The sequence below is a fragment of the Homo sapiens genome, chromosome 18 (genome assembly GCF_000001405.40).
Source record: "Homo sapiens chromosome 18, GRCh38.p14 Primary Assembly".
Taxonomy (NCBI): domain Eukaryota; kingdom Metazoa; phylum Chordata; class Mammalia; order Primates; family Hominidae; genus Homo; species Homo sapiens.
Window position 1 is genome coordinate 41,496,768 of NC_000018.10, and position 14,262 is coordinate 41,511,029.

Below are 14,262 nucleotides of genomic sequence, written 5' to 3' on the forward strand. Positions count from 1 at the left end.
CTTAATGATGGATGCACAATAAGTATAACATGAAGAAATGCCTATCTAGAACATAGTGTTGAAATAAAGATTAAGAAATATAGCATTGTCCCCAATTCCCTTTGCATAATCACCTTTCTGGTAGACTAGACATTGTTTCTAGAATTGCTTGAGAATGTGAATATATTATTACATTAAGAGGCCATGTCTTTACACTGCAATCACTAGAATATATGATAGAAATAATGAACAGAATTTGCAGTGAGATTTTATATCAATGCTGAATTTTTCCCCTGCTTTATGATTTTCTATTGAAAATTAGAATAACTGCCAGAGACCTTGCAATTTTACTTACTCACAATAAATGCAGTTGCTCTTTCTGTGGTATCATTCTCATACATCTTAAATTGTGAGAGTATTTTGTAATACCTTTCTAAATCACTGACACAGTTTGCTCTCATATCTGCAAAAATTGTAAGGAAAATATTTTTCTTATATAAAACCACCATTCTCTTTAATTTGCATGGACTTTAAAAAAATATTCAGGCCTGGTGCTGTGCACCCCTAGTGTCAGTTAGTCAGGAGGTTGAGGCAGGAGGATTATTGAGCCCAGGAATTTAAGGCTGCAGTGCGCTGTGATGGCTCCTATGAATAGCCACTGCACTCCAGCCTGGGCAACATACAGACACCCTGTCTCTAAACAAATAAACAAATAATAGGCTTTAACTTTTTTAGATGTTTTAGGTTTATGGAAAAATTGGGTAGAATGTACAGTTTCCTTATAGTCTCTAATCTCTTCCCCTGCTTCTTCTGCTTCTAGTATTAATATCACACATCGTTGTGGTACATATGTTATAATTGATAAATTGATATTGGTACACTATTATTAACTCAAGTCTATCATTTACTTAATTCACTTTCTGCATTTTACATTCTATGGATTTTGACAAACATATAGTATGATGACATGTATCCAACTTTGTGGTATCATATAGTATACTTTCATTGCCCTAAACATCTCCTTCAATCTGCCTATCTCTCCCTCCCTCTCCCCAGACCTCTGGCAACCACTGATCTTTTTTTTTTTTTTCCTTTCTTTCTTCCTTTCTTTTTTTTTTTTTTTTTTTTTTTTTGAGACTGAGTCTCGCTCTACCACCCAGGCTGGAGTGCAGTGGTGCAATCTTGGCTCACTGCAACCTCTGCCTCCTGGGTTCAAGCAATTCTCCTGCCTTAGCCTCCTGAGTAGCTGGGACTACAGGCACGTGCCACCACGCCCAGTTAATTTTTTGTACTTTTAGGAGAGATGGGGTTTCACCATGTTGCCCAGGCTGGTCTTGAACTCCTGACCTCAGATAATCCACCTGCCTCAGCCTCCCAAAGTGGCGTGAGCCACTGCACCTAGCTGATCTTTTTACTGTCTCTGCAGCCTTGCCTTTTCCTGAATGTCATATATTTGAAATCATATAGAATGTAGCCTTTTCATATTGGCTTCTTTCACTTAGCCACCTGGATTTAAGTTTCCTCCATGTCTTTCTGTGGTTTGATAGCTCATTTATTTCTGTTGCTGAATAATATTCCATAGTATATATGTATCACAGTTAATTTATGCACTAACCCATGGAAGTAAATCTTGGTTACTTCCAAGTTTTGGAAATCATGTACACTTTTGATATAAATATTTGTGTGCATGTTTTTAATTCATTTGGGTAAATGTGTATACTTTTAAAGCTCAAGAAAGAAGAACTTAATTTTTGAAATAGTGTGTCTCCATTATATTCAACGGATTGAACGTCATTTGTATGCATGCAATACTTTGGAGATGGCATTATAGTTCTATATGTTTCTGACCATCTGAGCTTTTATCTGCTGATTATCTCCTCCATTTACCCACACCTCACCATTCTTCCTAAGGTCTCAGCCTTGGTACTTGCCTATCCATATATTTCTTACACCATCTTTACTTTATTCTTTCTACTAGTTCCTGGCTAAGCTTTTTTTATAAAAAAATTTTGCAGGAGATCAGAAACATAAAGTTACTGGGCTGGGGGCTGTGGCATAAATAGCTCCCTCTTGGTTCATCTGTAAGTCAGCTTTCCTTTTATCTAATCCCAGTTAAACAATTGTTAATATGTGAGTTGGGGCAGGTGAATGAGCAACATTCCTTTAACCAGTTAAGAAAAAACAAGCTGATTGGAATACACTCCTGGAACATGGTTGAGCTATGGCGAATGGAGGGAGGGAGTTGAGATTTGAAGCATTAAAAACTATAGCAGTGACAGCATTCTTGGAAAGCAGTTCTACCAGCACAGAGTTTAGTCTAATTTGCCCCACAAACTGGCCTTTCTTTCCATGAAACCCATTTGTTCCTGAGTAGTCAATGAATGATTTCTGGACAAAGTAGAGTTTCATCAAAACATTGCAATACACTCTACATCTGTGGAGTGCCATATTTTGCCTTTTCTTTTCTATTTGTTTTGCAATCTGTTTTTTTTTTTTTTTTCCACAACAAACTTCTAAGAAAAGGAATGAGGGCACAATTCCCATTTTATGGGTGGGGAAACTGAGACACACAAAGGTTCAAGGCCATGCCTAATGCCACATGGGTAATTATGGGAAAACAAGAAGACAAAATCTGGTGTTCTGGACCCTTAGCCCTATGTACTCTCTTCTATAACATGCTGCCTTCACAACTGCAGTCATTAGTCTGTGGCTGGGATTGTGATGGTGTCATGTCAGTGGAGCCAGAGCAACAAACTTAATGACACAGCTGGGAAAACTTAAAAGTCTGCCCTTGGCTGGGTCATAAGTGGAGGTTAATACAATGGTGTCATTACAGAGTTTTGCCCGCCTCCCAAAACCACAGCACAGTTCAAGAGAATCAAAAAGGTTCCACTGGGGGTTGGCTCAGGTCTGAATGAGCAGCCAAGGTCAGAATGGAAATGTGGAATAGACAGGGAACTGTTGAGCCCATTGCAAAGTTCAAAACTGCACAGTGAATCCCCCATGACCCAAAGCCTACCTTTGCCTGCCAATTAAAAGATCATCCTCAGTTAGAGTTTAAATTAAGGCAGCATACTGCTTCTTGGGCTACAGATCTGGTGATTTAATGCAACTTACTTCTAAATCAATCCTTTTCACAGTAACATGCTTGAAACTAGGCTCTATTACCTGTCCAAACTATTTTTAAAAATATTCCCACTGTAACTAAATACAACACTCCAAGGTCCCGTTGCACACTTCACACCCCCTACCATGTACTATACCTTTAATTTCATAATATATGCAGTCTTAAATTCAACATTTATTTTTAACACCTATATTTTAATGAAACATGAAATATAAAATGAAACTCCAGTCTGCCTTGTATGAGCACGAAGAAAAATCCTAATTACCTGTTTCAAAAGTGTGAAGCGCTTTCTAATTTTCCACCAGCCAGTTTCCTTAGACAGCACCTAGTATTATAACTATTTATGCCAATTGTGCTATTTCATGCATAAAATTACCGCATTATTGTTGGAATAGATGCCAAAGAGATATCTAAGCAGGGTGCAATCACTTCAGTTTCTATCAAATTGGGCTCCTGAAAGGTATCATAAATTTTATTAGAAGGCAAGGGGCTAATGGCAGCCAATCAGTGTTAATGCTGATAAAATTGCTGTATTTTACATTATAAAAACCAGATGATATTTTTGTCAGAAGGCCACCTTTTGTTTTATTAAGAATGCATCATGAAAACTATATTGTAATCACAGAAGATACTTAGGAAAGCTGCTTCCCTTCCTCAGGATGTGGGGGTGGCGTTCCTCTCGGGGTGCCCTGACAGTGGTTGGTGAGGCAGCCTTTGCTCTTGGCTGTCTGATTAATGGTAGCATAAAATGAAGCAATGCAAAATGCATCCCTCACACTATGAGTACCGTAATTCGATTGCTTGCAGCTTTATTCTCTTAGGGTCCACTCTTTGGGAAACAAATATTAATGTTCCACTGTTCCCAGGTCCTTTATTGTGCTATAAAAAAATTGTTTTCGATTAACCTGCCAATTGAATCTGGAGAGCTAGGTGGTTTTTAAGACTCCCTTGCTTCTTCCTGAGGCACCACAGTAAAGAGTGGCAGATTATGATGATATTGAAACGGAAAAGAAGAAAGTTTAGTGCAGAGTTCAGGCCCTTTGATACAGTCCTGAGTTGCATTTTATCAATAGTAATAATAATTTCCATAAGTTGAAGGCTAAAATGTGCGACCTTGGGCAAATCAATTCCTCTCTCCAAGGCCTCTGTGTCCTTATTTCTGAAATGATGGTATAAAATGCTGCAGTCTCTAAGGCACCTTACACACACACACACACACACCTGGAGAAATAACTTGATATCTTACCTTTGCTTCTATTGGCAACTCCTTACTTGAACTGATATCTGAGAGAAACGCTAATGTTATCAGACTTGAGGAAGCATAGGTTGAATGATCTGGCCTTTTGTTGCTGCTCCATTTCGTGGAGGAAAAGCTGGACAATGTAACTCTCTATGGTCAGCAACTAGCAACAATAAAAACAGATTAAATAATCATTCAAATGTTCTTTCAGACACCCAAAAACTTAGCACACAGGAATTTTCTCTCCCTAGTTTCTAACAACTGCATCAAGAATAAAGTGCAATCTAACTCTCAGTTATAATAGGACTTGTGTTATCTTGTGTTCAATCAGATACAAATACTTCAAGGAAAAAGACCTATTTTCTACTTTGTTTGAATACCCTTTATTGCTCAACACTAAGCAGTCACTCATAAGTGACTTCAGAACTCAGTGGTTAATGGTAAGTGGTTGACAGAACATGAAGAAACCATCAGTTGGCTTATATGATCAAGCATACTAGATTAAGCAAACTGTTTGCTAGAGGATAGTAGGCAGACATGTTTAAAACTATGTCTTCAATTTCTATTCCCATTAGACTATCACCATAAATCCACTTTTTTAAAAGTAAATTTCATATTTGTTTGCTTCTCTTTAGGTTGATTCTGGTATTTCCCCAAAGAACCACTGATGGCTGCCTTTTCCATGGCATTACAACCCCCCTGCTGGAGCTAATAATTATAACTCTGTTACAAGTATTTCTAGAAGCTTGGGGGCATGCCTTACCAAAATGAACACATATTTATGTGACTAAACAATATATTAGTGTTTGTATAAATCAAGTTACATACATTGTATACGGTAATAAATTACCAAGATTCTGTGACTAATGACTATAACTTTGTACTAACCAAACAGGGGTGCCATATATGATTGTGCAGGTTGTGTGCCACACCAGAGTAAAGCCAGAACAGTGAGTGGTGAGTCACCAAGCTGTGCACCTGGTGTACGTGAGTAACTATCAGAAAGACATAGCGCCTTTTTATTCTCAAGAAAGCATTTACCACTCTACCAGCCATGTACCCACAGGGAGAAGCCATATTTTTCAATTCACACAAAGGGGTCAAAAACATACCAGTAACTAGTAAAGCAAATGATCTTGAAATTCCGCTAAGAACCTCCTACATGCTGAATCCCAACTGATCTTTAATTCAGTTTCTACAAAGCAACAGAAGCTACAATCTGAGAAATTTTAGATTTCCTGAAAATAGTTCCCAGACCCTAGATCCCACTGACACCAAATGAAATCAAGCCATGCAAGACAATTTTTACTTGGATTTCTTAAGGAGGGGATAAAGATTGGAACAGATCCACAAATAAATGCTCAGAAACAAATGAAACAATGAGCTAAGAGACGTGGAGAAAGCCAGGCCTGCACCTACCAACCTGCATGTCAATGGAGAGGCACAATGTTCTCATTATGTACATCATATGGTTGCCCCATTTTCAGATGTCTTAATGGCCTAGGAAGATTATTCCATTAGGGTTTCCTTAATTATTTTCACAGTTACTGTTACCTTTGCACCTGGCCTCAGAGTAGTTTGAGAATAGTGTATGAATGATGCTGCGATGCATTAACTATAGCTGAGCAATTACACCATTCAACCAGAATACAAAGGTAATTCAAAGCAATGAATCCTTAGCTATGTATATGACAGAAGAATTGGTTCTTCTCTACGGTCTTTCAGTCAGCCAGTTAATACGCATGTAATACAGGTTATTAGAAGTAGTTATTTTCAAGGGGAGTTAAAGAAGCTGGGACATGTTCCAAAGCTAGACATTGTTATTGATATAATTTTTTTTGTATTTCATTTAAAATAGTCAAATAATAAAAGTAAAATATGTGTAATTACCTAATTAACCTTGTGTGTGACATGTACTTATGACCCTTGCCTCATGTTTAAATCACACCTGTTCCTAATCCCTGTCACCATCCCTCATACTATTCTTGAACCTCATACCATCCCTGAAAGTGATCATTGTTTATCCCAATCCTAGGCCACTTTCTATCTCAAACTGCCTCCCTAGGGTTTAATATTTGCTTTTAAGCCAAACTAAAATGTACCTGGAGTGAAAACAGAGGCTTCAAAATGCCATGTGATCAACATAGCCTGGTCCCTCTAGTTGTTTAAATACTGTTGGGAGATTAAGCCCATTAAAAATCTAACAAAGAAATCTTAACAAATATTGCCCTCACAGAGTTGTCAGAAGCTGATAAATATGACTAATATTAAACAAATGGATCTGTTAAGTGACCCAGGAGGTTGTCCCAGGAGGGACCCAGGAGGTGTGTGTATGCTTTCTCAAGTTTTATTTCTAATTGAAGATGCCTTCTGAAATTTGTTGACACTGTTAAGATGAGAAACCCTAAATAAAGAAATCTTAGCATGGATTGTGATCAGTGTGATGTGGGAGAGTTTCTTATGTCAAGAAGGTTAGGTGCCCAAGTTTCCCGACAACAAATATTCTCAATAATCTATCTCACTCTTTCAGAATCTGTTAGTCCATTTTGCATTGTTATAAAGAAATACCTGAGTCTGGGTAATTTATAAAGAAAAGAGCTGTATGTGGCCTAAAGTTTTGCAGACTGCACAAGAAGCATGACACCAGCATCTGCTTCTGGTTGGGCCTTAGAAAGTTTACAATCATAACAAAAGGTAGAGGGAGAGCCAGGAGTGTCACATGGCCAGAGGAAACAAGAGAGAGAGAGGGAAGGGGTGCCACGCTCTTTTTAACAACCAGATTTTATGGTAACTCATTACCATGGGGAGGGCATCAATCCATTCATGAGAGATCCATCCCCATAACCCAAACACTCCCAGTAGGCTCTACCTCCAACACTGGGGATCACATTTCAACATGAGATTTGGAAGGGCCAAAATATCCAAACTGTGTCAGAATCCAAACATGGGCTGTTTGATTACGTGGAAAATTGTCCAGGTTTCCTTATCGCTCATGAAACTCTTTTATATCCATCCTACAGAGAGATGACTCATGGCCCAGGTGAAATTCAGGTCCAAGCTCTGGAGAGTGTGTGGGGACTGGTGAAAAGACATGGTAAGATGAACACATGTGTAAGTGTAAGAGCATAAAGGGGCTTTGTTTCTATTGTTTGTTAGTGATTGTTTTGGATACTGTTTTAAATTTTTCAGTTTGGAAATTGAGTAGTAATAAAGTCTCCTTGGAGTAGAAAGTTAAGGAAGAGAAGAATAAAGTGGGAATAGGTAGGTCAGAGGACAGAAGCCTGGGAGTTTTACTTTTTTTGATAAACAAAGGGAATTCAAGGAAAATTTTAGTAAGAGAGTCGTGTGATTAAAGTGGGTTTACGGAAACAAAACAGGATACTTGGACAGACTATGTGAATGTGGATGATGACACACAGCATATTTATGTAGCCTGCAGCTAGTATTTCTATAAAATTATTTTGTGATCTCATAAAATCTCAGTAGTAACAATAACATATTATTTGAATCCTCAATGGGCTAAAAGTTTCACGATTCCATCCACATGCTGATTACATGAAACCTTGGTAATATACCCATAGCCAATATATCCTAAAGTCTAGATTGATTTATAACCTTGCAATCTTTTTGTACCCATTTAATATCTTTTATATAAAATCAGACATCCTGTGTTGTCTCTGATGCTGTATCTAAAGAGTTGAAAGAAGAGGAGTTTAGGCCACAGGAGTCTTTTTGGAGAGAGAATATAATGCAAGAGATCAGTAAAGCAATAAAAGGGTCTGACTGTCCCATTCCTAGTATATGAAATTCAGTTAAAAATATAACACCAAGATTTTTTAATAAAAGGATAGAAGCTTGTGGCTCCTGTCATTGAAGGTTCTAGTGCCAGATGAATCTTTACAATTTAGATCTTGGGTAGGAGGAGGGATATGGGGGAAAAATGAATAAATCTATAAAATTTGACAAGTGACAGATCTTTGCCTGGTTAACTGGCTATGCAAAGATTTTAGTAAATTCTTCTGTCATTCCCAATTTATCTTATTCATGAGAATGTTATAATATTCAAATGACACAATGGAAGGTAATCCTATATTTGCTTTGCAGAACATTTTAAGACGTGCAGTCAGAGTATATAATGTAGTCCTGGTTTCACCACTTTGCAAAGACAAAGTTGTATAATAAACTCCAAATCAGGGGAGAAAAACATATGGTATTATTTTCATTGTTTCAGAATATAGTAACACTGATAACACAATAGTCCATAGACTTAGAGCTGTTTTCAGCCAAAATACCTAAAATGTATGAATTGCTGCAACCTCTTGGCCCCCTTACTCTCTTCGTGTTGGCAACCCTATCTCTATCTGCCTTTTTTTCGTTTGTCTCTGTGCCTGCTATTTTTGTCTCCCTCTGCCTTCTCTGTGTCTTTCTTTGTGTTGGTTTCCCTCTTCTCCAGTTCATCTCCTTCTCCACATTCCGACCTCAATAGACACTTCCCCGTTTGCTGTCCTATGTCTTCATACTTTTCCTAACATGAAAAAGGAAAATGCAAGCCTTTGCTTGGATGTTTAGTTTGCATTTCCTTCTAATGTACTTTCCGAAAACTCCGAACAAAATCAAGAATTTCAATCCAAACTCAAGGGAAAAATTGCAATAAAGTGGTACAAATTAGAACAGAGATGAGAAAAAGAAATATTGTCAAGTTCTTGGAATATTTTAAAATATTATTACTGTAGGGAATGGATGAAGAAACTGGTTTTAAGCAACTGATGCAATTTTGATCAATAATTGAAGTTGAATAATTCTAAAAAAGACTATTAGCTCACAGATTGAGGTGCTCACTATGGGATCAGAGAGGCCTCAAATTATGGATCAGAGGGACTTCGCTTCAACCCTCCCCTGTTATTTCTGGCTATAGGTCCTGAAGACTTATTTATCATCTCTAAGTCTTGGTTTACTTAACAAAACAAAATAGAAAATAATACTAGGGTAGCTGAATTAAGATAATTTAAGTAAAGTGCTTAGCACCACTCTGAAACGTAATATATGTTCAAACATGTTAGTCATTATCATCAACATTATGGTTTTTCTTATTTTTATTGGGTACAAGAATAACAATTTCCACGTTAAATATTTACTCTCATAAAGACAATTATCCATTTAGAGCTCTGTGTTCTCTTCTTTCATGAAAGTTTAGCAAGTTCTTATTTTGATTTAATTTTTATTTGTATAAAACATATATGTACAAAGTTTAATAATCAGAGTATATACGTACAAAGTTTAATAAGCAAGGTTTCTCAAAAATTGTGAAGAAAATAACAGTGTTTAGCCTTATCCATTTGCACTCTAAATTCTCATTTCCAGAAGTAATTATCTTTATTTTCCAATGTTACATTTTTTTCTGAATATTCTTCCCTCCCTATGCCTAAATAACGTGTTTATTCTATTTTTTTCAGGTTTTATTGTTATCTGTTTAGTTCCTGCTGCGGAAGATGAGACTCTCGCTCTCTTTGTCATTTCCCCACATGCACAGAAACACACATATTTCTACTTTTCTCATCCTCTCAACAGGCTATCATAACTTTGGTTAAATCAATAGTCAGTGTTTGTATATTATTATTGGATAAATATTACTTACAGTGGAACCCATTTTGTGTATGATTAGATATTCTTTCTTGTAGAACTTTATGTTTATCCAGGAGTTAATACTTATCTGATTATTTTCAGTTGCTTAATGTCCTATACACCTGTTATTAATTTATGCTGAACTCTCCAACAGAAACTGAAATCTTGTCTTACTATGTTTAAACACATTGGGTATTCTACAAGTTTCTTTTCTTATTTATGTATAATTCTCCTAGGGCTTTCCATCTTCCTGCTCTAGTCTAAACTGGTTGTTCTCTAGGCCAGTGGCAATGTTATCATCCTGATATTCTCCTTCACCATCAGCCTGGGAGTTCTGTTGGTTTTTCTCCTGTATGGAATCCTCTATTTCCTGTTATTTTTAAAAACTTGGTGTCAACCCTAATTTTCATGGGTATATTTATGCAATAACTTTTCAGAAAAAGATACAAAAAAAGCAACATTTTTTTTCCTGTGATTTTGCTTACTTGAAAATATCTTTATTCCATGGGTCAGCCAACTATAGGCTGTAGGCTAAAATCCTCCCATTTTAGTGAATAAGGTTTTATTAGAATACAGCCACATCCATTTGTTTACTTATTATATATTATGCCACAATGGAAGATTTGAGAAATTGCAATAAAGAACATTTAGATGATAAAATCTACAACATTTATTATCTGGACCTTTACGAAGCAAATATTTGCTAACACTTGCTTTATTCTATGTTCACACAAAATTGTTAATTTTGCTAGATATAGAATTTTAAAGGGCTTTTTTTTTATCTTCTAGCTTCCAGAGTGAATGTTTAATAGCCTTACAACATTCTGATTCCTAATCCTTTATATAAAAACTGTTATTTTGTTTGTTTTTGGAAGCTTCTGAAACCTTCTCCTTGTTCTTGGTATGAACACTTGTTTTTCTAATGCAATAAACACATGATGAACCCACTCAACATAAAATCAAACAGTGTATGTGATAATTTTTTATCTTCCATTATTTTTCTCTTTTTCTGAACCAAATAGTCAAAGTATAGGTCTCCCAGACTAAATTAAAATCTTTTTAAGTCACATAAAAGCTGAAATAATTTATCACCAACAGACCTTTATTATAAGCAATGTTAAGAAAACTTACCCAGAAGGAGGGAAAATGATGTCAAACAGAAATACTAATCTCTAAATAGGAATGAATAGCATCAGAAATCTAACTACATAAATCAATATGCAAAATTTTTTCTTAATATTTAAATCATTTTATAAGATAGAATGAAGTTTGTTGTACAAACAAAAATAACAATAATGTAAAATAAAGCATAATGCATAACCCTAGTACCAAAACTGAGAGGTTTATAACAATATAAAGTCCATGACCATAACACAGAAACTGAGATGTGAGAAACACAGGTATATTATTGAAACATTCTAGTACTATTTGTGAATTGTAAAATACCATTTGAAGAGCATCTGTGATAGATTAAAATATATTCTCTGAAAACTAGCACAACCACCAAAATAACAGAACAAAGAATAATAAATAACAAGCCAACAATGACAATAAAGTAAATCATCTTTACATAATGGAAAAGAAGTCAGACAAAGAGGAAAAGGAAAGAAAGAACACATGGGACAAATAGAACGCAAAAAGCAAAATTAGAGATCAATAATCATATTACATGTAAATGTTCTAAACACACAAATTGGAAGTCAGAGATTGTGATTAGATTTAAAAGAAAGAAGGAAAGACTCATCTATATGCTGCTTGTAAGTGTATTCTAAATAAAAGAAGGAAATAGGTTAAAAGTAAAAGGATGGGATAAGATATACAAACTAACACTATTAAAAAATACTCTAGAGTAGTTATATTTACATAAAATAAATTAGATTTTAGGGCAAAGAGTATTACTAGGGTTTAATATCATATTTATAATGACAGAGTTAAGTCATCAAAAAAATAACAATTGTAAATATTTATGTAACTGAAAACAGAGCTTAGAAAATTCATGGAGCAGAACTAATACAATCACAAGGAGAAATATAAAAATCTCCATATAATTAGAAATTTTAATACCTCTCTGTCCTGATTGGTAAAACAAGTGGACAGAAAACCAGTAAGTATATAGAACAGCACAGTCAATCCACCTGACCAAATGATATTTATAAGACACTCTACTGAACAACAGAAGAATAAGCATTATTTTCCAGTGCACATGGAACATTTACTAAGATGTATATTATTCTAATCTTAATACATTTAAAAGGATTTAAGTCACACACAAAAATGTTCTCAGATTACAATGAAATTAAATTAGAATTAAATAACAGAATGATATCTGGAAAATCTTTTCAAATACTTGAAAACTAATTAATATACATCTAAATAACCTATGTATCAGAGAAAAAATCAAAGGGGAAATGAGGAAGTATTTTGAATTGAATGAAAATAGAAAGACATGGAATTTGTATAATGCCAGTAAAGCAGTACTTAGGGGAAAATTTGTAGCACTACACGCCTACATGAGAAAAGAGAAAAACATCAGATCAATGATCTCATCCCCCTCCTTAAAAAAAGCAGAAAAAGAAGTAAAAATAAATGCAGATTAAAAAGAATAAAGGAAATAATAAAGATCAGAGCAGAAAGCAGTGAAAGAGAAAAACTAGAGAAATAAATGAAACTAAAAACTATTGTGTGTGTGTATTTTGAGATATATAAAAACTTATAACTTTGTCCAGATTCAACAGGAAAAAGTACAGGCAAACTATTACAAATACCAGGAATGATAGAAGTGATTTCACAAGAGTTTGTATAGATACCAAAATCTGACAAAGAGATTGCATGAAAGAATACTATAGACACACACACACACACACACACACACACACACACACACACACACACACAAATAGGATCATAGGGTTATCGCTAAACACAATTTCAGCAAATAAAATTCATCTCTCTCTTTGTCTCTCTCACACACACATTTGTTTAGTGTTAAAACAAATTTGGAATTCCTGAAATAACCCTCATTTGGCTATGATAATATTGTGTGTTTGTGTGTATATGGTGTGTATACACATACCATATTTATATATATAATATAGATACACACACCATATATATATACACACGTACGCATATATATGTAGTACTATACTACATATAGCATACTGTAAGTTATATACACACACCATACACACACACACGTACACACATACACAATATTATCATGACCAAGTGGGGTTTATTTCAGAAATTCCACATTTGTTTTAGCACCAAAGAATCAATTACTGTAATCCACCATATTAAGAAAATAAGAAAAATAACATGATCATATGAGTAGCCACCGAAAAAAGCATGTGGCAAAATCTATTTCTGATTAAAACTGTCAGCAAACTAGGAATAGAATGGAATTTCCTGAAGCTAATAAAAAACATCTACTATAAGCCTACAGCTAACACGATAGTGGTAAAAGACTAAATACTTCTCCCTAAGATTAGGAATATGATAAGGAAGTTCCCTCTCACCACCTTTATTCAACATTATACTGAAGGTTCTAGCTAGTTTAATACAGCAAGAATAAGGTATGAAAGACATCCAGATTGACACGGAAGACATAAAACTGTTTTTATTTGCACACAACATTATCATTTACATAGAAACTTCAGTGATATCTCAAAAGAGCAACTAGAATAAGTGAGTTTAGCAATGTTGAATGATACAACATCAATATGTACAAATCAATTGTGTTTTCATGTACTAGTTACAAACCATCAACATTGAAATATAAAGCAATAACATTTATTATAACATAAAATATGAATACTTAGAAATAAAGCTGACAAAACATGTATGCTGAAAATTAAAAAAAAATTACTAAGAGAAATTAACCTAAATAAGTGGAAATATATACCATGTTTATGGGTCAGATGAATGAATAATATTAGGATGTAAATTTTCCTAAAATTGTTCTATAGATTCAATGCAATCCCAATCAAAATCCCAGCAGGGATTTTTAGAAAATAGAAAGCTGACCTAAAATTCATGTAGAAATGCAAAAGACCTAGAATGCCCAAAAAAACTTTTAAAAGAAGACTTAACTTAGAGGACTAACATTTCTTGATTTTAAAACATGTTATAAAGCCACAATAATCAAGACAGTGGGGTTTTAACGTTTCTTAACTTTAAAACATGTTATAAAACCACAATAGTCAAGACAGTGGGGTTTTGGCAACAACAGAGCTAAATAGTCCAAAGGAACACAGCCTAAAATTCAAACTTCACATATCTATAAAACGAACTT

The 14,262-nt window shown here is 34.9% G+C and overlaps 2 long non-coding RNA genes across 2 annotated transcripts in view; one reads left to right on the top strand and one right to left on the bottom strand.

Annotated features, from left to right (window-relative positions):
- The window catches only part of KC6 (keratoconus gene 6), a 40,407-nt gene that overhangs the window by 16,497 nt on the left and 9,648 nt on the right, over window positions 1-14,262 (bottom strand). The window contains exon 3 of the long non-coding RNA NR_002838.2: window positions 4,353-4,509. This is a non-coding gene — a long non-coding RNA (keratoconus gene 6). The remainder of the gene's footprint in view (window positions 1-4,352; window positions 4,510-14,262) is intronic.
- Window positions 7,367-10,932, top strand: LOC105372083 (uncharacterized). Its single transcript, XR_001753428.2, has 2 exons — window positions 7,367-7,440; window positions 9,800-10,932. It is a non-coding gene; the product is annotated as an uncharacterized LOC105372083 (long non-coding RNA).